At 40.0% G+C, this 24,950-nt stretch overlaps 1 protein-coding gene and 1 pseudogene across 4 annotated transcripts in view, besides 1 other annotated feature; one reads left to right on the top strand and one right to left on the bottom strand.

Annotated features, from left to right (window-relative positions):
* TMEM17 (transmembrane protein 17) overlaps positions 1–24,950 on the top strand; it is a 52,665-nt gene that overhangs the window by 3,903 nt on the left and 23,812 nt on the right. The window contains exon 4 of one of the 4 annotated variants that reach the window (XM_011532693.3): positions 19,545–19,935. The exons of 2 other annotated variants lie outside the window; for them this stretch is intronic. In XM_011532693.3, coding sequence (XP_011530995.1) covers positions 19,545–19,730 — 186 coding nt within the window. In that variant the 3' untranslated portion in view covers positions 19,731–19,935. Of the gene's footprint in view, positions 1–805; positions 2,076–19,544; positions 19,936–24,950 lie in introns of those variants that run through there. One more of the 4 variants, NM_198276.3, reaches the window with a different exon arrangement.
* Positions 12–1,211: an enhancer, noted in NCBI's record as "MED14-independent group 3 enhancer chr2:62728217-62729416 (GRCh37/hg19 assembly coordinates)". NCBI's record gives its function as "activates an origin of replication core promoter dependent on BRD2, BRD4, P300/CBP and CDK7 cofactors, and independent of MED14, by STARR-seq in HCT116 cells {active_cell/tissue: HCT116}" and the evidence as "EXISTENCE:reporter gene assay evidence [ECO:0000049][PMID:35650434]".
* RN7SL18P (RNA, 7SL, cytoplasmic 18, pseudogene) lies at positions 10,825–11,115 on the bottom strand (annotated as a pseudogene).

The raw sequence follows: 24,950 nt of genomic DNA, 5'->3' as shown, positions 1-24,950 counted from the left end.
CTGTTTGCTTAATCTCTTGAGCCCTGGTTTCCTCATATATAAAATGAGGAAAATAATATTTACTTCACAGGTTTGTTGTGATTAAGTGAAATGATTTATGTAAAGTATATGAATGTAGTAAACACTTAAAATTGATATTTTCCCTCTTCTTATCAGTCTTGAAAATACATGGTTACTTAAACATGTGTATTTGGATCCTGAATAAGAAAATGGGGGAAAATTATGAATTCATTTCCTATGCCAGGCCCATGTTTTCTGCATCATCATGCTGCCTAAGCATTTGTGGTTACCAGAGTATAGGGATAATGCCTAAAGATTCCCGTGGTTTTCTAGGCCCTTCATAATAAGGCCCCACCCAGCCTGTCTTACTGTAGGTTTTGCTGTTTTCTCACTCAGCCATCCATTCCAGGCTGATGTGCTGATTCCCAATCATGCTAATTTCACGTGTTTGCTTACTTACCTTTTTGCCTCTTCCTTCTTCTCCACAACTTAAAAAGCCTACCTCCCTGAGGTCTTTCTTTCACCTACCCTAATCACTCCCTTATTTCTTGTAGCATTTAGTCTGTACTTCTAAATATTGCACTTAATTGTTCACTAAAGTGTAGTATTCTAGGATTGTTTTACATGAATTAGTTTTCTCATCTAGACTGTAAGTTCTCTGAGGACAAGGACCATGTCATCCTCCTTTGGAATCACTCACAGAGCCCATAATGTAGGTTCACGGTAGTGATAAGTACTTGTTTATCTGTATAAACAGAAACTGTATTTTACTGATTTTTATTACTCTTGATATGTGTCATTGCAGGTTCCTGAGTTGGCTGGCTTTTGGCTTTTGAGCCTTCTATTGCAGTTACCTTTAATTCTTTTCTTGCTCTTTAATGAAGGCCTAACAAATCTGCCCTTGGAAAAAGCGATACATATCATCTTCACTCTCTTCCTTGCTTTCCAAGTTGTTGCAGCATTTCTTACCTTAAGGAAAATGGTTAATCAGTTGGCAGTTCGTTTCCACCTCCAAGACTTTGACCGGCTCTCTGCAAACAGAGGAGACATGAGAAGGATGAGGTCATGTATAGAAGAGATCTGATCCAGTGTTGTTGAGTGAAAATCTGACAGATCATTCTAGAGACTGTAAGAGTTAGGAAAATATCAGAGCTCTGAGAAAAGGGACAAAGCAAGTGTTTTGAATTGTATATGCTCTCACTCTGAAATTCCAAGGTTGGGGGCAATGATGAAACTTTGTACAGTATATGAAACAGTATATTAACCCTAAAACCTAGATGTTGTCCACCTGATGCCAAATTTCTTAATTTTTTTTGATGTTGTTGTCTTTTTCAGGAGTGTAGAAATCTATGTATTGGTGGTTGTCATTTGCCAGCTCTCTCGTAGCATTTCTGGTTAGAATCTTTAACTAGAGATGTATACATTTCTTTAAAACTTGTTGGTTATCCATGTCTTGTCTGTACATATGACCATGTTTCTTGACATGGAAATACCAGTCAGTGTTCCTATGTATTTGTCTATATTTGTAAACCAAGAGACCGGCTGGGTGTGGTGGCTCACGCCTGTAATCCCAGCACTTTGGGAGGCCGAGGTGGGCAGATCATGAGGTCAGAAGATCGAGACCATCCTGGCTAACACGGTGAAACCCAGCCTCTACTAAAAATACAAAAAAAAAAAAAATTAGCTAGGCGTGGTTGCAGGCACCTGTAGTCCCAGCTACTTGGGAGGCTGAGGCAGGAGAATGGTGTGAACCCAGGAGGCAGAGCTTGCAGTGAGCCGAGATCAAGCCACTGTACTCCATCCTGGGTGACAGAGCAAGACTCCATCTCAAAAAAATAAATAAATAAAAAATAAAACAAGAGACCAAATTTTCATGTCTGCTAGGGTTAAATTCTAACCCTAATATTAGCTGTTATACTGAGATGAAGAAGAAAACAGGTGGATTGCCTTGGTATTTAGGAAATATTTTTGTTATAAAATTACAACTTTCATAAAACCATATTCAGTATTTGTAATGGTGGTATACAAAATGCTTTTACAATAAATTATTAAATATTTAAGGTATCAGCAGCAAATCATCCTTGTCTTGTGCAATTATTTTGGGCTATAGATTTGTGTTTTTTATTACAGAGTTGCAAGAGAAGGAAGGAAAACAAATCCTAGAGAACTTTCTATGTAGTGGGCACTGTAGTAGGCATTTTAAATTAGCACTTGTGATTGCATCTACTAGGTTCTTGTTCACCAAAGAACTGCTTCATACCCATTAAATTCACGTGAGGCTTGATTTGGAAACCAGAGCGCCTCTTAATACATATGAGAGCTAAGATGGCCAAAGGGACTATACTCATGATCCTAAATGAGCATGCTCCCTTGCTAATAGGAGAAATCTATTTTAGGAGAATTGGTTAAGAACAAAGTTGCTTGGGTGTATCTGAACATTATATTTAAGTGACTGTTGGACTGTCTTAATGGATATGATATGTTCATTACAGGTTTTCTTTTTTTCTATAGGGAAATGGGCCTTCATAATGTATTTTACTGAGGGACAGTTGTAGCTGCATTAAAAACTGCTCTTTTCAATTTTCTTTTTCTACAATTCATGCTTATCTTAGGATTCCCAGGTTTTGCCTTATTCATTGTTGTTTGGCTGAACTTCAAAAAATGTCTTTACTTCCCACTCATTCTTGATTCTTCCTGACCAAACTATGCTAATTTTATTATTTCTGCTCTTTATGATTATATATAAAGTTCAGCCAAATATTTCTCCCTCCATGCAGTGGCTGATTAATCTTTCTCATGCCAAAGTAGTCACCAGTTTTACTCTTAATAATTTGGAATTTAAAATAGAATTCTGTTTGAATAGTTGTCTAAAACATATTTGTTTGCATTTGTTTCCCAGATAGGACTAGGTAGGTGATTCTATAAGAAAATATAAAATAAAATTAAATCTACAAAGCAGATAAATTAGGGGATGATGGAGACTTTTCTATTTCAAGATTGTTTCCAGAGTTTTATTTTAAATAGCAGAACTTCTGGTACATTTAAACTTTAAAATTAAGAGATTAATAACAAAATGTCAGTCATAACCATAAAAAAATTTTTAAACTGTAAAAAGTTTGAGAAAATTGATTTATCAAAAATTTCAAGTAATTTTGCTGTAATAAACATATTGCTTAAAATGCAGATATAGTAACAGTGGGGGAAAAAAGATAGTAAATTGAGACCATGACCAAGTCATTTGTTTGTTTTTCATCTGAACAATAAAACCATGGTTTTTTGTGTTAGGCTGAACCAATATTTTCTATTGGAATATACCTGGTTCCCTATATAAGTATATGAAAATCAAGGTAGAGGAGATATTAACATGTCAGCACATTTGGGGGTTAGGCAGTCTTTCATTTTATTTGAATATATTTATCCATCCTTAATTTATATTATATCCTTCTAAGGATTTACAACACTGTACTGAAAATTTTTTAATTAAAATGTTGAACTTCACAAACATTTTGTCCTTTACATATTTTTTGTATAAATCAAAATTATTTTATTTTATTTTATTTTATTTTATTTTATTTTTGAGACGGAGTCTCGCTCTGTCGCCCAGGCTGGAGTGCAGTGGCGGGATCTCGGCTCACTGCAAGCTCCGCCTCCCGGGTTCACGCCATTCTCCTGCCTCAGCCTCCCAAGTAGCTGGGACTACAGGCGCCCGCCACCACGCCCGGCTAATTTTTTGTATTTTTAGTAGAGACGGGGTTTCACCGTTTTAGCCGGGATGGTCTCGATCTCCTGACCTCGTGATCCGCCCGCCTCGGCCTCCCAAAGTGCTGGGATTACAGGCGTGAGCCACCGCGCCCGGCCAAAATTATTTTATTTTTATTTATTTCTGTTTTTTTTTTCTTTTTTCTTGAGACGGAGTTTTGCTCTGTTGCCCAGGCTGGAGTGCAGTGGCGTGATCTCGGCTCACTGCAGCCTCTGCCTCCTGGGTTCAAGTGATCCTCCTGCCTCAGCATCCAGAGTAGCGGGGATTACAGGCACCTGCCACCATTCCTGGCTAATTTTTTTGTATTTTTAGTAGAGGCAGGGTTTCACCATGTTGGCCAGGCTGGTTTTGAATTCCTGACCTGAAGTGATCCACCCGCCTCAGCCTCCCAAAGTGCTGGGATTACAGGCGTGAGCCACCAAGTCTGACCTAAATCAAAATTGTTTTAAAACATTGAAACTTATTACTTTAACATACACTTGAATGACTAGTATATGTAAGGAGTAGTCAAAGGTTCATAGACAAGACATGCTCCTAGTTCTCAGGGATATGATGTGGGAGGTAAAACATTTGTACAACCTTAAGACAAAGTAAAAAAGCGTAACTTTATGAGGGAAGTGTGTTGAATGAGTTTCACTGAGTTTCTACCTGCTAAGTACCTGACAGGTAACAGGCCCTTGGCTTCCAGCGCATCTTCCCTCTTTGTTCCTAGCACTTAGTATCCCAGGATTAGCGCATTAACCCTACATCAACACCATTTAGCATTCACTGTGCTCCACATTGTCTGAGGGGGGTAGGCAGTATTCAGGTTAAATGAATACGCACTCAATCCCACTTGCCTATGCAAGCAAAAAGTTCCCTGTCTGGTAGAAAAGGCAGATAAGCAAATCAGTGATAGCAGTGTGGTGGGGCCCTATAGGATTACAGAGAAGAGACATCTAAATGAATGACGAATCTGGAAAGCCTTCCCAAAGAAAGTGACACTTGAGATTTAAAGAATGAGTGGGTATTAAGTTCAGTGTTAAGAACAAAAAATAGTGACTGTGAGTTCTGTTTCAACTACTACAACTAGTTTGTTGAGGCTAGTGGGAAGGGTACATGAGAAGAAATGGTGCAGAATAAGGCAGAGAAACTTGGAAGGTGCTAGCAAGCCTGGCTAAAGCTTTGAATATATTCTGTCTTTAATTTTTCAGAACTCTATTCTGAATCCCTGAACCGTTTAAACAGTGGAGTATCACAATCAGAATTAGGTTTCAGAAAGATCTCTTTGAAGACAATGTGAAAAATGGATTGAAAGGTTTGGACCAGAGGCAGAGATACCAGGAGGAATGTGATTAAGTAAGTTAGGCGAGAACAAGCTGGCCTGGATAAAGTCAGTGGCAATAAAATAAACTTGAATAGAACCTACTATAGTGTTTTAAAGATAATTTGTATTTTAAAACAGATATTAGGAGGGTCTTTTTTCTAATTCATCTTTTCAGAGATGACCTATAAGAGTAAACACAATGAAATACTCACCGCCTTTCTTATCTCCCCCACACCCACAGTTATTAGATTATTATTTTTTTGTTGTCTTTTAGAGACTGGGTCTTGCTCTGTCACGAAGGCTGGAGTGCAGTGGCACAATCATAGGTCTTGAACTCCTAGCCTCAAGTGATCATTCTGCCTCAGCCTCCTAAGGTACTGGGATTACAGGCGTGAGCCACCACACCCAGCCATTAGATTATTAGACTTAAATAGAGCTCTATCTGAAATAATCTAAGTTTTATTTGACATAACCTACCTAATGATTCTTTACTTGAATTAAGATTATAGTTTTTAAAAACTCTAAAGGAATAGGATCACAAGATTTGAGAGTAAAGAAAAATCTACAATTCCACCATCTTAAAATAACAACTATTAGCAAATGTCATGTTTCTTTGATGTTTTTACTTTGCAAATAGTTTTTTAAAAACACAGTTGTGATCATAAGCACTTATAATTGTGCACCCTGCTTTTCTGAAAACATTAAAAGTATTTACCTATGTTTCTACATAGTTACACAATCATCATCTTAAGTGATTGTGTGTTATTTCATCAAGTAGATGGGCCATAATTTATTTAACTTCTCTCCTATCATTAGATATTTGTGTTATTTCCTTTTTCTTTTATACATAACATTGTAACGAACATCTCATGCATATAGCTTTTTCCATATCTCAGATGATTCCTTTTAATTAATAAGCCAGATTCCTGGAAGTGAAATTGCTGGGTCCTAGAGTATGGACATTTTTAAGGGCATATTGCCAAATTAAAACATCCACTTTCTACTATTCACCACGCACAATTCTAAAAATAGTACAATGAATATTTTGACAAGGACAGATTTGTGGACTTTAGTTACCCATTTGTCTTTGTATTTCTGAGTAGTTACCACAGGAATACTGAGTCTCAAGAGAAAAAAAAAATCTAAAAGCTGTGAAAGGAGAACTGGAAAGAATAAAAAAAAGATTTTTGAATTAAGGGAAAACTGATAAGGGACGGGAAAAGGATTAGGCAAGCTGGTCGCAGTCAGCAACAGACAGTGAGATGTGACACAATAAAAACTGGGTCATTGAGTTGGGACAGCCCTAGGACATAAAAAGACTGAAATGAAGTAAAGCTCTGGATTACTTTGTTCTTGAATATTGAATTTTTTCAGAAGCATGGAGCATGAAATATTATAGTGATAAGCCAAGATTGGAAACATAGCCAAGAAAAAGAGGTCTTTAAGGGATTGTTTAAAATGTGCTGAAGGAATAATTTGGTTTGGTCTTAAACGGCTCAAAAAGTAAATTGACATAAAGCTTTTGCATAGCAAAGTAGGCATGGAGGCAGAAAACAAAGCGGCAAACAGAAGAGTTTACCTTGTAAATTGGTTAGCATGTAATATGTTAGATTTTGGTCATAGAAAAGATGTATCAGGAGACTGAACTACTGTATTTTATAAGTGTAATTAACACTAACTTGTTATGGGTATATATCTTTATTCTAGTTTTAAGAGACTGTTAATTTGGGGGTTTTAAATCAAAAAGCAAAACTAAATAGTTATGAGGCCATTCTAAGAATCATCCTAAAAATCTTTTTTCCCCAGTGTTTACGCACTTAAAAATATTCAAGCCCTAGAAAAATGTGTTTAAATATAAGTTTAACCTCAACATTTAAATGTATTCTGACAGATTTACATCTTTCTGAAAGTGAGGCTAGGCATCAGTGTGTCATCATCTTAACCCAAGTCAAGACAGGCTGGAACACCTGAAAACAAGATACAAATCGTAGGACAGCATGGAACATATATTCTATGAAAAGCCAAAGACATTTGGAAATTTATCTTATCAACATGCATTATCTAAACATATTCCACAGCTGAACATTCTTGTCTGAAAAGAGCTTTTTAATCTAGTAAGATGTACAATCACAATGTATATATTGTTCCACAGACCTAAGTCTTTAGCACTCAGCTACATTAAAAAGGTAGACTTTTTATTTTTTATTTTTTTGAGACGGAGTCTCGCTCTGTCACCCAGGCTGGAGTGCAGTGGCACGATCTTGGCTCACTGCAAGCTCTGCCCCCTAGGTTCACACCATTCTCTTGCCTCAGCCTCCCGGTAGCTGGGACTACAGGCACCTGCCACCATGCCCGGTTAATTTTTCTTTTTGTGTGTGTGTGTGTTTAGTAGAGACGGGGTTTCACTGTGTTAGCCAGGATGGTCTCGATCTCCTGACCTCATGATCTGCCCGCCTCGGCCTCCCCAAGTGCTGGGATTACAGGTGTGAGCCACTGCGTCCGGCCAAAAATGTAGACTTTTAAAAACAATAATCAACCAAGAATGACTTTGTCTTTAATTTTTCAGAACTCTAATAGCACTATATTTGGCTGGCAGAAAAGTATTATTGATTCATTTTTAAAGGTTTTTAGTTCCTGATCTTGAGTTATTTATATTCTAATTCAAAGTACATTAGAGACACTGCTCAATATTATAGCCTAAAAGAGAAAAATATTTGATATTAAAGTTATATGCACATTTAAAAATTATTTTTAAATGCTTGATTCATTAATACCTAGAAATACTAAAATGACCACTCGAGAAAGTAGAAGTTTTAGGACTTTGCTTCAATAGTTTTCCTAAAAAGAATGAGAGCTTATTAAGAGTCAAAATTTGTGCTATCCTAAAAACTATTGCTCCCAGTGGTCAATAAGCCCTTGCTAAAGAAGGCTGGAGATTTAACTGTTGATTGTTCAGTACTTTACAAAGCAGAGCAGCAGAAGATACGCTCTGTATTTTTAGTACGCTATGATTTTGTTCTGTAAAGTCAACAATTTAATTAGCTACAACAATATGTCATCCACTATGCTTTGACACTCCAGGACGAAAAAGATAAATAAGATTAAGTCCTTGCCCTTCCAGCCATCTAGCAGAGGAGACAAATTTAAGGTAACCACAATTCCTTATGATAAGACTGTAATACAGCTATGTAAAAGATGAAAATAGGTGATGAATCCTGCCTAGAGGGTAGGATAGGCTTTCAACAGATGGAACAGCATGGGTAAAGATATAGACATTTAAAAATATAAGGCCTGAACAGAACCAAAAGTAGTTTTGTGTCATTAAAATATAAGGTGTGTAGAAGAGAATGGGTTGAGATGAGCTGAAAAGACTGGCGTCGGAAGTTATCAGTCTTTTAAATAATAGATTATTATAAAGAGTTTGAACTTCATGCTGTAGGCGATGAATGGTCTATCTATATTTAAACAGCATTATAAGTCATTGTTGCCACATTTGAAAATGATAGAAAGCTGAGAGGGAGAACTAATTTGATTGATGATACAATCACATTTCAAAAGAATCTCCTAACAAGCTGAAATGCCAGATCCAAATACATTTTACACATGCGCACACACACCCTTCTCCAACATGTACTTTTCAAAAAGTTCACTAGTATATAATTCTGTGCTGTTTTTCAGGGAAAAACATCTGGGTAGTCCTAGGAGACGATAAGCACATATTAATAGAAATGTAATGCCCAGATCAAGTAGGATAGCAATCTCACTGTGCGCTTTCTTGTTGTAGTAATGTCTCCTCAACTTTACCATACCAGCCCTATGATTGTGTTTATCAGGAAATCTAAAACCAAATCTGATCATGACACTACTCTCCTTAAAATTTGTTAAGACTCTCATTTCCAGGCTGGGCATCGTGGCTCATGCCTGTAATCTTAGCACTTTGCAAGGCCAAGGCAGGAGGATTGCTTGAGCCCAGGAGTTTGAGACCAGCCTGGGCAACATAGTGATGCCCTGTCTCTACAAAAAATAGAAAAAAATAGCTAGGCATAGTTTGTGCCCCTAGTCCCAGCCACTCTGGAGGCTGAGGTGGAAGGATTGCTTGAGCCCAGGAAGTTGAGACTACAGTGAGCTGTGATCACACCACTGCACTCCAGCCTGGGCAAGAGTAAGACCCTGTATCAAAAACAAAACAAACAAACAAACGAAGGACTCTCATTTCCTGCAGGATAACACCCAAACTCCCTAGCCTGGCATATTAGGCCTCTTTCCACCTGCCTGACTTCATCTTGCTCTTCCCCACTCCTTCAAGCTGCAGTTCTTCCCATGCACCATTCTGGGTTTTACCTGCAGACTTTCCCTCCAAACTGCTCTGTCTGCCTGAAGTAGTAATCTTATCTATGTGGTGAAACTCTACTTATTTTTTAATGCCTGGCTCAACTGTCACATCTTCTATGGAATTCTGAATATTTGTTCCTCCCACAGTCCTACAGTCACTGAGCATCTTGGGGACAGGCACCACTCTTATTCATGATATCTCCAGTGCATATGACAGTGCTTATGCACTTAGTAATGTTGACTGAATGCACAGATGAAGGAATAAGCAAGTTGTTAGAACTCAGAGCTCCTGCCTCCTGTTCTTAATACATAGCAGCTTTTTTTCATAAACTTTCTACAAAATAGAAATGCCACATTTACTCATATTTGAATCTTTGTGGCATGAAAATGAATCCTAATCTTAAAACCAATAACCACTTTTACGTTAAGATAAATGCTCAAATTTTGCTGGATCCCCAAAACTCATGCAAATAACAACCACCATTTAATTGGATGCCTGCAATGTGCCAGGCAGTGTGCTGGGACTTTATCAATATCTCATTCAATTCTCATGACAACTCTGTAAGGCAGATCTTATTCCCATTTTACAGAAGCTAAAACTAAAACTCAGGAGAAGTTAAGGAACTTGCTCAGGGTCACACAGCAAGTAAACAGAAGACAGAATTTAGACCTAACCTTGTCTGGTTCCAAAGATCATGCTTTTTCACTCTGCAGTGCTCCCTCTCTCTAAACACATGCTCCAAAGATATATTAAGGTTGATTTAGACCTGTCCGATCTAGAAGCCAAAGCAGGAACATTGCTCAGCCTTGGACCCTCCGACTTCTAGGGGCCAAGGAAAGTGGCAAAAAAGGGTCCAGAAGCTACTCTCATTGTTTTTTAAAAATCTAATAATACGTTTACCTATAGAAAGGCTTAGCAAGCTAACTAAAAAGTCTGTTTTTTGTTTTTTGGAGTTTTTTTTTTTTTTTGGTTTTTTGCCTGTGGTTGGAATTTCACTAACTCAGAGCATTATCCTCAGTCATTTCATGTTGGTCAAAGCTGACTGAAAGTTAAAGAGATGTATATTTGATTAATTTTTTTAAATGGGAAAACCCTTTGGTAGAGTAATTTAAAAGATTGTCATTTGCTGAAGTAGGTCCTTGTGAAATGCTACGTGCTTTCATGTGCTATCTTATTTACTCCTCTAAGGTATTATAACACTTGTATATTATGTTAACTTTATAATTATAATACCATTTCCCATTTTGAAAATGAGAAAAACAGAGTATTCTAATAAGTTAACCAAGATCACCTAGCTGGTAATTGGCAGAACTGGGATTCAAATTGAGGCATGTCTAATTCCAAAGCTTTCCTACACAGCTCAGTTCTACAAATTAACTGAGGGTTTTTTGTTGTTGTTGTTGTTTGTTTGTTTGTTTTTTAAATAGAGACAGGGTCTCGCTATGTTGCCCGGGCTGGAGTGCATGCAGTGTGATCCCACTGCTGATCAGCATGGGAGTTTTTGACCTGCTCCATTTCCAACCTGGGCTGGTTCACCTCTCCTTAGGCAACCTGGTGGTCTCCCACTCCCAGAAGGTCAACATATTGATGCCGAACTTAGTGTGGACACCAGATTAGCATAGTGCACTACAGCCCCAGAACTCCCGGGCTCAAGTGATCCTCCTGCCTCAGCCTCCTGAGTGGCTGGGACTACAGGCACACTCCAGCACGCCCAGCTAATTGAGGTTCTATTGCGTGGCAGGCACAGGATTCTATGATGAGTAAGATACTGTTCCTGCACTGAAGAGGTTTTTTTTTTTTTTTTTTTTTTTTTTTGAGACGGAGTCTGGCTCTGTTGCCCAGGCTGGAGTGCAGTGGCGCCATCTCAGCTCACTGCAACCTCCGCCTCCTGGGTACAAGCAATTCTCCTGCCTCAGCCTCCCTAGTAGCTGGGATTACAGGCACACACCACTGCGCCCAGCTAATTTTTTTGCATTTTTAGTAGAGACAGGGTCTCACCATGTGGGTCAGGCTGGTCTCAAACTCCTGGCCTCAGGTGATCCGCCCATCTTGGCCTCCCAAAGTGACAGGATTACAGGCGTGAGCCACCACGCCATTTGAATCTCTGCTCACTCTATACCAGTTAAGATACCCACATACTTTTCTGTTTCTCTAGTAAGGGGCCTGTTTATTAAAATTAAAAAGTAAGAAAACCATTGCCACAAACTTGTAACTTCTTGACTCCTTCACAGCCCTCTGAATCTATGATCCAAAGTGTTTTAAAATTTTAAGCTTCGAAATATGAGAAATTACCATATTTATACTTCAGTATTTATAATAAGGTTTTAAAAGATATCAGACTTGTTGCTCATGCCTGTAATCCCAGCACTTTGGGAGGCCAAAGTGAAAGGATCTCCTGACTTCAGGAGTTAGAGACCAGCCTGGCAACATAGTGAGACCCTGTGTCTACAAAAAATAAAAATATTAACCAGTCATGGTGGCTCATGCTGGTAGTTCTAGCTATTCAGGAGGTTTAGGTGGGAGGATCTCTTGAGCCTGGGTGGTTGAGGCTGCGGTCAGCCAGGATTGTGCCACCGCACTCCAGCCTGGGTGACAAAACGAGACCTTGCAAAATAATAATAATAATAATACACACATGCATCAGACTTTAATTTTCTGAAATCAATTTTTGGTCCTACAGAAATAATAAGGAACTCATTGATTATTTTTCTTTCTTTTGAGACAGAATCTCGCTCTGTCACCCAGGCTGGAGTGCAGTGGCACCATCTCAGCTCACTGCAACCTCTGCCTCCCAGGTTCAAGTGATTCTTGTGCCTTAGCCTCCTGAGTAGCTGAGATTACAGGCAAGTACTACCACACCCAGCTAATTTTTTGTATTTTTACTAGAGACAGGGTTTCACTGTGTTGGCTAGGCTAGTCTTGAACTTCTAACCTCAAGTGATCCACCCACCTTGACCTCCCAAAGTGCTGAGATTACAGGCCTGAGCCACCATGCCCAGCTGACTGATTGTTGATTTAATATGTGTAAAGACTGTGGAGCTCAAATGTACAGGCTTACATATTAACACTTTGATGCAAGGTTTTTGTTTTATTTTTGATTTTTAAAAATTTTTTTAACAGAGTTCAAATTGGGGCACAAGTGCACTCCTTATCTCACAACATTTTAGTAACGCCTAAGGCTTGCCCAATTTATTTTGAAAACTTCAGTCTGCTAGGTCATGAAAACAGCCCCCTATGTTATAAAAACAGCTCCCAAGCCCCCAGTAAGCTCTTGCCTTTATTGCATAAAATGGAATGAACCAAATATTTCTTCCTTTTGCAAGCAAGCCCAAATAAGCATATGGATTGAAGAGTGAAAAAGACAAAACAAAAATACAAGAATAATTAAGCCCCTTACTAAAATGCCTACTCCAATCGCAGGATACAGGCAGTCATGAGTCAACATGTGATCCTAACTAAAGACAAAAACAATTCACTCACAGCAAACCCAGCTGCAGCTAACAACATGAGCAATACCAAGAGCATATCTGAATGCACACATGCCAATAAAGAGACTTTTATGATTTCAGTAGAAAGAACTCCACCTCCGACTCCATTCAGGGCCAAGAGCAGTCAGGCAAATGGAAAAATGTGCTGGAAACAGCGTTGAGACTCTCCAACGAAAACATTCCTTCCCTTGTCATTTTGACTATTTGAGACAGCAGTGCTTTGGAGTTAGAAGATGAAGAGTCAAAGTCATCACTCATCCTCAGGGAAAACACATCCTAGGAATATTTTATTATAATTGCTTTCTGAGATGCTGGGCCACTCCAGGATACATTTACCATTTTCATACCTGAGGGGATATATGTGATGTGTTCTGCCAACCTTGAGTCACCTGGTAAGGGTGTCCGTGGAAGGCACCATTGTTTTCAAGTTTAATTCCTGGCTTAAAAGCCTACATCCCTGTATTATTGACTAAAAGTCAATCAAGTACCCCAATAGGGTGTTCCTGTGTGTGTCTTGTTTTGCTTTTTTTTTAAATCTGACCCCTAAGCAGAGAAGCTGTGCTAAGGTTGGAGAAGTTTTTAATTATACTCCAAAAAAAAAAAAAAAAAAAAAGTAGAATAAAACAGAGAGGAAGTGCTAGCAAACAGCAGCTCAGTGTAAACCTTTTAAATCCAGCCTCTTTGTAGGTTGGAGATTTTTGTTTCTTTATTCCTTTATTTCCGTAGATTCAAGATCCAATTCCTAAGCTTCCTAGTCGAGTTGCAGAGGGAATTAAGCTTATTGGGAGAACCACATAGTTGGGTCCTATATGTTTGGATGGCAGTCATAACAGCTGTCAGAATTCCTCTTTATTAGTTGCTTTTAGGATTGTCCTAAGTATCATAGGTTCTCTAAGTTTTTTTTTTTTTTTTCAAAACTCATCCTTTATTTAAAAAAAAAGTTTGTCCATATATTGCTTGCTTGTTACAAATTGTCTACTCCTCCTTCATGGAAAATTCAACAATGTCAGTATCAGGGCCATGGTTTTTATTCTCCATTCAGCATCTTTCTATGACATTCATTTTAATAAATATAAGTAACTTTGCATTTGGGTCATACCTATCTACAGTAGCTATCTGTGTTAAAATTATCATATTGATCACTTTCAAAGCCACCCAGGAAGGCAAAAACAAGGACTCACAGACTCAAGAAGAGGAAATGACAAAGCTCGAGACGAATTCCAAAGGTAGATCAAGTTTGTGTGAACATACAATCTGAATCCAGGTCTGACAGCTGGCCATACAAAGTCATACTTTCCCCACATCCCTCCTCTTTGATAGGCATTGTCATCTAGAGCAATAGCCTCGAAATAGACTGAACACCGTGGCCCATAGCTTAACTCCGTTCCACCTCTATTTCAAAGTAAACTTGGGCTAGGAATGGTGGCTCACACCTGTAATCCCAGCACTTTGGGAGGCCAAGGCAGGCGGATCACCTCAGGTCAGGAGTTCGAGACCAGCCTGGCCAACATGGTGAAACCTCCGTCTCTACTAAAAATACAAAAATTAGCCGGGCATGGTGGCATGAGCCTGTAATCTCAGCTATTCAGAGGCTGAGGCAGGAGGATTGCTTGAACCTGGGAGGTGGAGGTTGCAGTGAGCCGAGATCGCACCACTGCACTCCAGCCTGGGCGACAGAGCGAGACTTCGTCTCGAACAAACAAAGTAAACTTGGAGTGGGGCCTGTGCAAGTTTTATTTTTTTATTTTAATTTTTTTGACTCATACTTTAGCTTCTTTATCCATTAAAGGGGATAATCCCACCCATTCACCTGTTTCACAGGCATTTTTAGGGTCAAATGAGGTATTTAAAAGGGCTTTTAAAAAAGTGAGGGCTTATTATCATGGTGGGCAGAATAATGATCCCCTAGAGATGTCTACATCCTAATCCCTAGAAACTGTGAATAGGTTACATGCAAAAGGGAATCCAGTTTGCAGATGGAACTGAGCTTGCCATTCAGCTGACTTTAAAATAAGGAGAGTATCTTGGATTATCCGATGCAATCACAAGAGAACCGAAATGAGGAAGAGGGAGGCAGAAGAGTGAATGTCAGAGTGATGTGATGTGAGAAAGGCCCGACCAGCTATGACTGGCTTTGAAGAAGGAACAGGCCATGAAACAAGGAATGTGGTGGCAAAAGGTAAGAAAATGGATTCTCCTTGAGCCTCCAGAAAGATGCACAGCCCTGCTGACACCTTGATTTTAGACCAGTGAGATCCATTTTGTTCTTCTGACCTCCAGGACTATAAGATAATAAATATGCATGGTTTTAAGCCACTAAGTTTGTGGTAATTTGTTACATAGCCATTGGAAACTAACACAATTATTAAGATGATTGAACTTCCAAGGACTGAAACAAGTTCTAGATGGATTCTGAGAGCTGAGTGAAATACACTGAGCAGCTCCCCGACCCCACATCACCCCCTTTACCCCCCAGTGTCTGCCTTGTAGATCAGCAAAGCGCATCCACAAGAGAAAGACAGCAGGTCCGGCAGGAGCACAGCAGCCAACCTGAGAGTGATGTAGCTGGGATTGGAGCTGTCCCTGGGATACCTGAGTAAGGGCCCATGCTAAAAATGACAGGAAGCTCATATCTGTCCCATATATTCGATGGGAACACCACCACTGTTACCAAAGTAGGCAGATGATCCTTGCATCCTGTCCCTTCCACTAGAACAGCATCCACTTTGTCTCTTTTCATTCCCTCTATTTTCAGTCTCCTCCAGGCTTCTCCAAACTAATTTCCCTGTTAGCAGGAGTTGGAGCTAGCCAAGAGTCTACCAAATCCCCTAGGGCCAAATGCCCAGGAACACCTCTGTGAGTCAGGTTCCAGATTCACAAACAGGGAAAAGTAACTGAGCAACTTCATTCTTATTCTATTCTTGCTGGAAGATCATTCCTACTTCACATACATCTCATCAGAGGGCCTCCAGGGACAGAGGCAGAGCAAATGCCAGATTTTAAAATTGTTTTCCTCTGGCTGTGCATTAACATTCTATTTCAGTCTTGACCCAAAGCCTGCTCAAGATATAAAGCTTGAGGGGAATTCCAAAGGTGGATCAGAGCCAAACTGATTTTTGTCCACATCTTCAGGCCCCAGTTCTCCCTCACCTCCAGCAGCCTTATCATTAGAATGAAAATCCTGCCCTGGAGGGTCCCCTATTCCTGCAGATTTACAGGCACCCAGCACCCCAGCCAGGCCTGAACCATTCTTTCCTGGTCAATTCAGCTTCCACAGGAGCGTCCACTCTGACCCACATTCCTGGAACGATTTCTTTTGCAAATCAGCAGGTTTTAAGCAAACAAGGGCACATTTCAGGACATTGAACTATGCAATTAGCTGAGGGTAAATTTGGCAAAGCATCTGGTCTGCTTACTAAAATGGAAATGGGGGAAAAAAAAGCACAGTTTTTAAAATTAAACATTCACTTTGTAAGGTCAATTCCGTGCAAATCTTCTTGAAATGACACAGGCACTGGCTCTGTACAAGAGGGTGGAGGGACTAGGATTCTTGGGGCTGTTCAGGAGCACCGTTCACTGATTGGGGCAGACACTGAACATGAGACAAGCATAATTCAGCGGTGCCAAAGAATGACAGCAAATAACCAGTTGTCTTCTGTTGGTGTCTCCAAAATCAACTTTCAGTAGGTTTTCACATTTTACTAAGTTTGAGCAGTAAAACTGCTAAAAGGATACATTGTGTTAATCAAATTAAAGGTATACTTCCTGATCTCTTGGGTCTTAGAACCTGTATCTTATATTAAAAGCTGCGTCCCACTCTTCTGTTGTATAAAGCAAGGTCAAAAGCACAGGCCAATAAGACTATAAAAGGGCAAAGTCGTGGTGGAAAATATACTCATTATTAGACCTTTTGAGCTACTTCCATTGCATGAATATTTTTGTTGAAGTTTTATCATCTCCTCTGAGAATTAGAAAGGCCAGTTTGAGATAATATTTCCAAAGACTAGAGTAAGATAATACATATACAAGCAGGACAATCAGGGAAGTAGGTTTTCGGGAGAAAGAAGTGGGGGAAGAAATAAGGGAATGTAGAAGTCTAATCAATGTTATCATTTCCCCACTTTTACAGCAATGGCATCCTCTGATGCAATAGACATTATGAATCAAGCTGGGCGTGGTAGCTTATGCCTATAATCCTAGCACTTTGGGAGGCCAAGGCAGGAGGATCACTTGAGCCAGGAGTTCAAGACCAGCCTGCACAACATGGTGAAACCCCATCTCTACAAAAATTACCCAAAAAATTAGCCGGGCGTGTTGGCACACACCTGTAGTCCCAGCTACTCAGGAGGCTAGGGTGGGAGGATTCCTTGAGCCTGGGAGGCGGAGGTTGCAGTAAGCTGAGATCATGCCATTGCTCTCCAGCCTGGGTGACAGGTGAAACCCTGTCTCAAAAAACAAAAAAATTATGAATTAGTTGGGAAAGCCATGACTGCTCTTCATTTATATCTCATTCTGCTTGTCTGAGGAATTTTTATGTAATTCTCCACCAGCTCACTCTATAGTATGACCATCCATTTTGGTCAAAGCTGAACTATTCCAAACAATATGGAAAACAGGAGTAAAAACAGGATTTCAGTAGTGACAAATACAGACTTGAAGCCATGAGAACATATCAAAACCCTCAAATAGAAGCTGGAAACCATGAAGAGTTTACATAACGTAAAGGGTCTTAGTGGGCCACAAACTGAACGAAAGTCAGCAGGTCTTAGAAGAGCAAGGATAATCCTTGGGAGGCTAGAAACAAGACCAGAACATGGGTGCACTGCATGTAATTGGGGAAGTTAGCTGCTAGCTCCATGTGACCATTTTTAATTTAAAAATTAATTAAATGTAAATAAAAGTTTAAATTCAGTTCCTTGGTCACACACACCACATTTCAAATGCTCAGCAGTCTCCTGTGGCTGATAGTGGCTGATAAGAGAAAGACAGCAAGACAGTAGGTCCAGCAGGAACATGGCAGCCAATCAGAGTGTGGCATAGCTGGAATCGGAGCTGCTCCCAGGAACCCTGAGAAGGGGCCCATGCTAAAAATGACAGGAGGCTCATATGCATCCCAACTGTTCAATGGGAACATCCCCTAACCCCTGGAACAGGAAAGCGCAGATATAGGTTCCCACCATTGCAGAAAGTTCTAATGGATGGTGCTGCTCTAGAGAAAGAGGGCCCTGCAGATGGTCTGGAAAGACACCAACCAAATCATTGGGAAATGAAACTTTGAAAAATGCAATAAAAGTGAAATTAACTTTCTTAAGCTTTGAAGGGAAAATGGTGAAGAGTGGCTTTAGGCTTTAAAATGGTGATAACTGTTGAGTGAAGACCAGATTTTTTCCACTTGTTTGAAGAGCTAAGGCAGGAAATTTTAACTTAGTCATAGAGAAACTCTCCTTTCCTTGTGAGGTGACTGGATGCTGGAATGGGAAGGAACACTTTCAAATCTGTATCGTAGGCCGGGTGTGGTGGCTCACACCTGTAATCCCAGTGCTTTGGGAGGCCGAGGCAGGTGGATCATCTGAGGTCAGGAGATCAAGACCAGCCTGGCCAACGTGGTGAAACCCCTGTCTCTCCTAAAAATACAAAAATTAGCCGGGCGCGGTGGCACGTGCCTGTAATCCCAGCTACTCAGGAGGCTGAGGCAGGAAAATTACTTGAACCCAGGAGGCGGAGGTTGCAGTGAGCTGAGATCCTGCCATTGCATTCTAGCCTGGGTGACAAGAGTGAACTTGTCTCAAAAAAAAAAAAAAAAAAATGTATCCTGGGAAATACATAAAAATAAGGTAGCAACTTAATATCTAGGGTTTAGGATTTGGGGGACTGACTAGAATGAACTTCACCTTAATCATCTATTTGCTTTGTCTGTTCAAGGCCTCCATACGGAGAATGCAAATGACAGGCATAAATAAGGAAGGACTGCTGCATGAATCCCAGAGGTTTTTGCTTTGCTTGCCTTTTCCTACAGAGCCTGTAATCCCAAAACAAAGCCTTCGCTCTTGACCTCAAAATCTAGCGACTTTTGCTTCACCCCACAATTTCCTTTGTTTCCAAAGGGAATTAGAAAAGCTCCCCTCAAACTTTCCTTCAAGCAGCTTTTTCCATCTTTATTGAGAAGCTCCAGAGACAGAGCCTGCTGTAAGCCCAGATGTGTTGACTAAATTAGCATGGTTATGGCATGATGCAGCAGTTAAGAGCCTACACTTTGGAATCAGACAGCCCTGGATTTGAGTTCCAGTACTTCCTCTTAACTAGCTGGGTAACCTTGGGCAAGTCACTTAACCTTCGTATTAGACATAACTCTCTTGATTTCAAGTTACATTTTCTTCAGAAGAATTGAAAGTTGATTGGTTTATGTACTTGGAAAACCCAAGGGGTCTGCTCCCCATGCATAAGGAATCTACATTTTGGGATCCCTTACAATACTCCTCTTCTGATACCAATTTGTTTATTAGTCTCTTTTTAGCAACTGACGAAACTCCAACCCAAACTAGCTTCAGCAAATATAAAGTTTATAGGCTTATGCAACCTGGGTGATTCAAGAGCACAGAAAACTTCAGGCATGGCTGCATCAAGGGTCCCAAATGATCTTTCTTTTCTACCCTTCAGATGAGCGTGCTCGACATGTTGAGAATGGTGACCACCAGAAGCCCCAGACTTACCTCACAACTTTCAGGAGACAAGGATCACATCTTCCCTGGTAGAAAAGCTCTAGGGAAGTTTCTGTTTGACCCAGCCTGGGTCAAGGCCTATCGATGGACCATTCATTGTGACCAACAGAATAAGATGTTCTGACTGACCAAGCCTGGATACATGTTCATCCCTCTGACTAAGGGTAGACTGAATAATTTAAACTGCACTGGATGAGTTCCCCACAGGAAAGGGGTTTTGGGTTCCAGATGGTACATAACAACATGCTCACTACAACTTCTCAGTCTCCATTTCCTCACCTGTCAAACAGGGATAGAATACTTTTCTCACAGGATGAGGATGAGATTAAATAACTTATATAAAGGCATCTGGAACACTGCTCAAATGATGGTAGCTAATATTTTGCAGAACAATAATTTACTATTATTTTGTTTAGGACATGTGGTGGCTTTGTAATATGTCAGCTTGGCTAGGCTGAACTACATTTCACAGAATTCCCTTTCCTATATGTTTCTGGTTAGGCTGTGCCAATAGAGAAACTCGTGTGTGAGATTTGGAAGTTAAGCAGCAGCCATTTTGTCACTCACAAAGGTTATCCTTTATCCACTGGTTCACTTTGTTGGTAAGGAGTAGTGGTCAAGTCTACAGCAGTTCTACCTTCCCCTGGATCCTTCTTCAGCTTCTCCAACTTCCAGGCTAAATGTGTGTTTAGTTCCATGACAGAGGATGCCAGCTTTTCTGAAGGACACACAAACCATCCAGTCAGCAGTGGTGGAACTGACACTGATTTCTATCCTTCCTCATAGGTTCCACTTTATGCTTGTAGGTTCCAGCTTGTCCTTTTTCTCACCTGCACTTGCCAACTATCTTTTCCAAGGACTTCAAACTCCATCACTAGACACAAAGACGATAGCCTCGCAGACTCTTTAACCAGCTCCCATAATTGTAGAAGGTTAAATGCTCCCCCCTTACACACACACACACACACACACACACACACACACACACCTTTAAGGGGTTCTGTTTTTCTCATTAGACTCTGACTAATAAAACCAGACCTATCCCTTCATGACAGAAACTCTCAGTAAATTATGTATAGAGGGAAAGTGCCTCAACACAATAAAGGCCATGTGTGACAAACCCACAGCTAACATTATATTGAACCAGGAATAGCGGCAAGTTTTTTTGCTAAGAACTAGAACAAGACAAGGATGCCTACTCTCACCACTCTTATTCAACATAGTACTGGAAGTCCTAGCTGAGCAATTAGTCAAGAGAAAAAAAATAATAAAGGGCATCCAAATTAGAGAGGAGGAAGTCAGTTGCAGACAACGTGATCTTACATATAGAAAAACCTGTAGACTCTGCCAAAAACCTCTCAGAACTGATGAAATAATTCAGTAAAGTTGCAGGGCACAAAATAAATATACAAAAATCACTAATGTTTCTATATGCAATGAACAAGCTGAAAAAGAAATCAGGAAAGCAATCCATTTACAATAGTTACAAAACAAAAAACAACAACAAAAAAACACAAAACCTGGGAATAAAGTTAACCAAGGAGGTGAAAGACTTCTACAGGGAAAACTACAAAACTGATGAAATAAATTAAAGAGAATACAAAAAATAAAAAATCAAAAGACATCTCATGATCACGGTTTAGAAGAATATTGGAATTAATATTGTTAAAATGACCATACTACTCCAAGCCACCTATAGATTCAATGCAATCCCTATCAAAATACCAATGACATACTCCACAGAAATGGAAAAAAAAATCTTACAATTTGTATGGAGCCACAAAAAACCCTGAATAGCCTCCTCAGGGAAAAGTAATCCTCAACAAAAAGAACAAAGCTGGAAGCATAATACTACCAGTCCTGCAAATATTCAAAGCTGTAGTAACCAAAACAGAATGGTATTGGCATAAAAACAGACATAGATCCATGGCACAGAATAGAGAACCTAGAAATGAGTCCATGTATCTATAGCCAGTAGATTTTTTTTTACGAAGGGGCCAAGAACACTTACTGGGGAAAGGACAGTCTTTTCAATAAAATGTGCTGGTAAAACCAGATATCCATATGCAGAAGAATGAAACTAGACCCCTACATCTCACCCTTAATCAAAAAGTGGATCTGAGACCTAAATCTAAAACCTGAAACTATAAAACTACTAGAAGAAAACATAGAGGAAACAACTTAGAACATTGATCTGGGCAAAGATTTCTTAAGTAAAACCTCAAAAAGAACAGATAACCAAAGTAAAAAGTAACAAATGGGATCACATCAAGTTGAAAAGGCTTCTGTACAGCAAAGAAAACGACAGACTGAAAGGACAATCTAAAGAATGGGAGAAAATATTTCCAAACTATTCACAATGGAGGAGAAGTAATATCCAGAATACACAAGAAACTCAAATATCTCAACGGAAAAAAAAAATTTTTTTTCATTAAAAAATGGGCAAATGATCTGAGTAGACATTTCTCAAAAGAAGACTTACAAATAGCCAACAAAGAAAGACATGAAAAAAATGTTCAACGTCACTAATCATCAGGGAAATAAAAATCAAAACCACAATGAGATATCATCTCACTCCGGTTAGAGTGGCTATTATCAAAAAGACAAAAAATAGCAAATGCTGGCAAAGATGCAGAGAAAAGAGAACCCTTATACACTGTCAGTGGGTAAACTAATAAAACTACTATGCAGAATAGTATGGAGATTCCTCAAAAAACTACAAATAAAACTATCATATGATCCAGCAATCCCATCCCATTACTGGAAATTTATCTTTTTTTTTTTTTTTTTTTTTTTTGAGACAGGTCTCACTCTGTCACTAACTCACGGTGGAGTGCAGTGGCATGACCTCAGCTCACTACAGCCTCAACAGCCTGTGCTCAAGCGATACTCCTACCTCAGCTTCCCAAGTAGCTGGGATTATAGGCATTTGCCACCACACATGGCTAATTATTTTTATTTTTTGTAGAGATGGGGTTTTGCCATGTTGCCCAGGCTGGTCTCGAACTCCTGGGCTCAAGCAGTCTGCTGGCCTCGGCCTCCCAAACTGCAGGGATTACAGGCATGAGCCACTGTGCCCGGCCCCACTACTGGGAATTTATACAAAGGAAAGGAAATCAGTATATCAGAGACATCCACACCCCCATGTTTATTGCAGCACTATTCACAATAGCCAAGATATGAAGATATGGAATCAACCTAGGTGTCCAACAACGGATGAATGGGTAAAGAAAATGTGGTATATATACATCAGGAATACTAGTTAGCTACAAAAAAAAGAATGAAATTCTGTCATTCACAGCAACATGGATGGAACTGGAGGACATTGTGTTTAGTGAATAAGCCAGGCACAGAAAGTTAAACACTCTCCCTGCATGTCCCCCTTCATATTGGAAGCTAAGAAAAAGTTGATCTCATAGAAGTAAAAAGTGGAAGGAAGGATACCAGAGGCTGAGAAGGGTAGGGGAAAGACAGTGATAAGCAGAGATTTGTTAAAGGATACAAAATTACAGCTAGATAGGAGGACTAAGTTCTAGTGTTCTCTGCCAGTGCCGAATGACTATAGTTAACAATAATATATAGTTTCAAACAGCTAGAAGGAGAATAGTGAATGTTCCCAACACGAAGAAATGATACATGTTTGAGATGACGCATATGCTAATTACCCTGATCACTATACATTATATGTATCAAAACATCACTATGTACCCCAGAAATATGTATAATCATTATATGTCAATTTTTTAAAAGCCCAGAATCTAAGTTTTCTAAACTCCCCCCAATCTCCCTTTTGGGCTCCTTTTTGGGAAAGAAGACCCTTTGGGAATTGTTTCAAAGGAAGCATAAATTAGGATAGAACTAGAGCTAATAGTTACGGTAAACTTCAAAATAATAATTTTTAAAACTTATCTTTTAATTTTTTTTTTTAAATAAAGAAAGCTAGAAAAATAAAAATACCACAGCACTAACCACAACCTACCAGAAGCATAGTACATGAAATAAATGGGACCAGCATCTTCTGTTATTCATCCAGCATTGGCTCAGACTTACCCAAGGTCAGTGGCAAAGCCAGTGCAAGAAGCAACAAGATGCCTGAGCCAAAAGGAAGAGTTCAATTGTTTAAATCAAGCAAGAGCCCTTTTCAGTCTAGTTGCCTCAAAATTTAAGGAGTGAGGGTGTCCATCACATCCACGTGTGCAGGATGGGAATTTCTTGCCATGTGCCTTTCTGCATGCAGAGCTTGGGCTGGGTCTCCTGTGGCAGCTGCTCAGGACAGTGTTCTCTGAACTTCCTCATTCCTGCCTTCTCTATACAGGAAGCAACAAAGCAGTACATGTTGCTCCCTTCCCTGAGCTGCAGGGAACTCGTTACAAGCAACACTGGCTAAGAAAGGAAGCATTTCCATCCTGTCACATGAACTGAGATGGATTCAGGAAAACATGAGTTCATGCTGTGGCTCCGTCAAGGCATCCCTCAGGATAGGGAGACTCATTGGCTCTTTGACCCTTTTCCCAACTCTGTCTACAAATCTGTCTTCCTTGGACCTGCCTACATGAAATGCTACCACTAGAGTCATTTATTTTAGGCCCAAATTACAACCATGTGAGATAGTTTAATCATCTTTTTGCCTTGAAACAGTAAGTAGAGATCCTCCCAGTAAAGATTGGGAGGTTTAATGGCAATTGGTGGGACTACTGGGGAGCTGTAGGATCCAGGCAGTAGGGCAGGGGAGCCCCGCAGAAAGGCGGTGAAGCAGTGGGAGTTCCAGGAGCTGCCACTACATGAGTGCCTTAAAGTCTGCAGGTCAGGCGGCCCCTCAAGGTAGGAGACAGCAGATAAAGGAATGTAGAGATGCTCTGAAGTTTTCTCTGCCACAGCTTGGCCTAAGGCCACGTACCCTTCCTGTGTTTGTATCTCAGTCATTCCAAGGGTCAAGTCAGGAAGGGGCCTGGCCCACATTCTGTGTGATAATAGATCAGATACCTCTGGTGTTCTGCCTCCCATCTCAGCCTCACCCCTGATTCTAACTGCAGTCTATGCTGGCCTCATCCTGACAGCCTCTTGCCTTAAGAGCCAGCCCATGTCTTTTGCTTTCTCTATTTTGGGATCTCTACAATGCTGTGGACACTAATGGGAGCCCACTTAGCACTCGCATATGTACAGCTCTGACTGTGAGGGAGTTAATGGCTCCAGTGTAACCCTCAAACAGGGGCCAGTGGGAGCTGCAGATGAATGCCTCTTCTGGTTGACCATCAGATAGACAACCCTGAGAGATTTTTTTGTTTGTTTTGAGACGGAGTCTCGCTCTGTCGCCCAGGCTGGAGTACAGTGGTGCGATCCTAGC

This window comes from Homo sapiens, chromosome 2 (genome assembly GCF_000001405.40).
Source record: "Homo sapiens chromosome 2, GRCh38.p14 Primary Assembly".
Classification (NCBI taxonomy): Eukaryota; Metazoa; Chordata; class Mammalia; order Primates; family Hominidae; genus Homo; species Homo sapiens.
The sequence above is the reverse complement of the archived record's forward strand: the minus strand, read 5'-3'. Positions and strand labels throughout refer to the sequence as shown.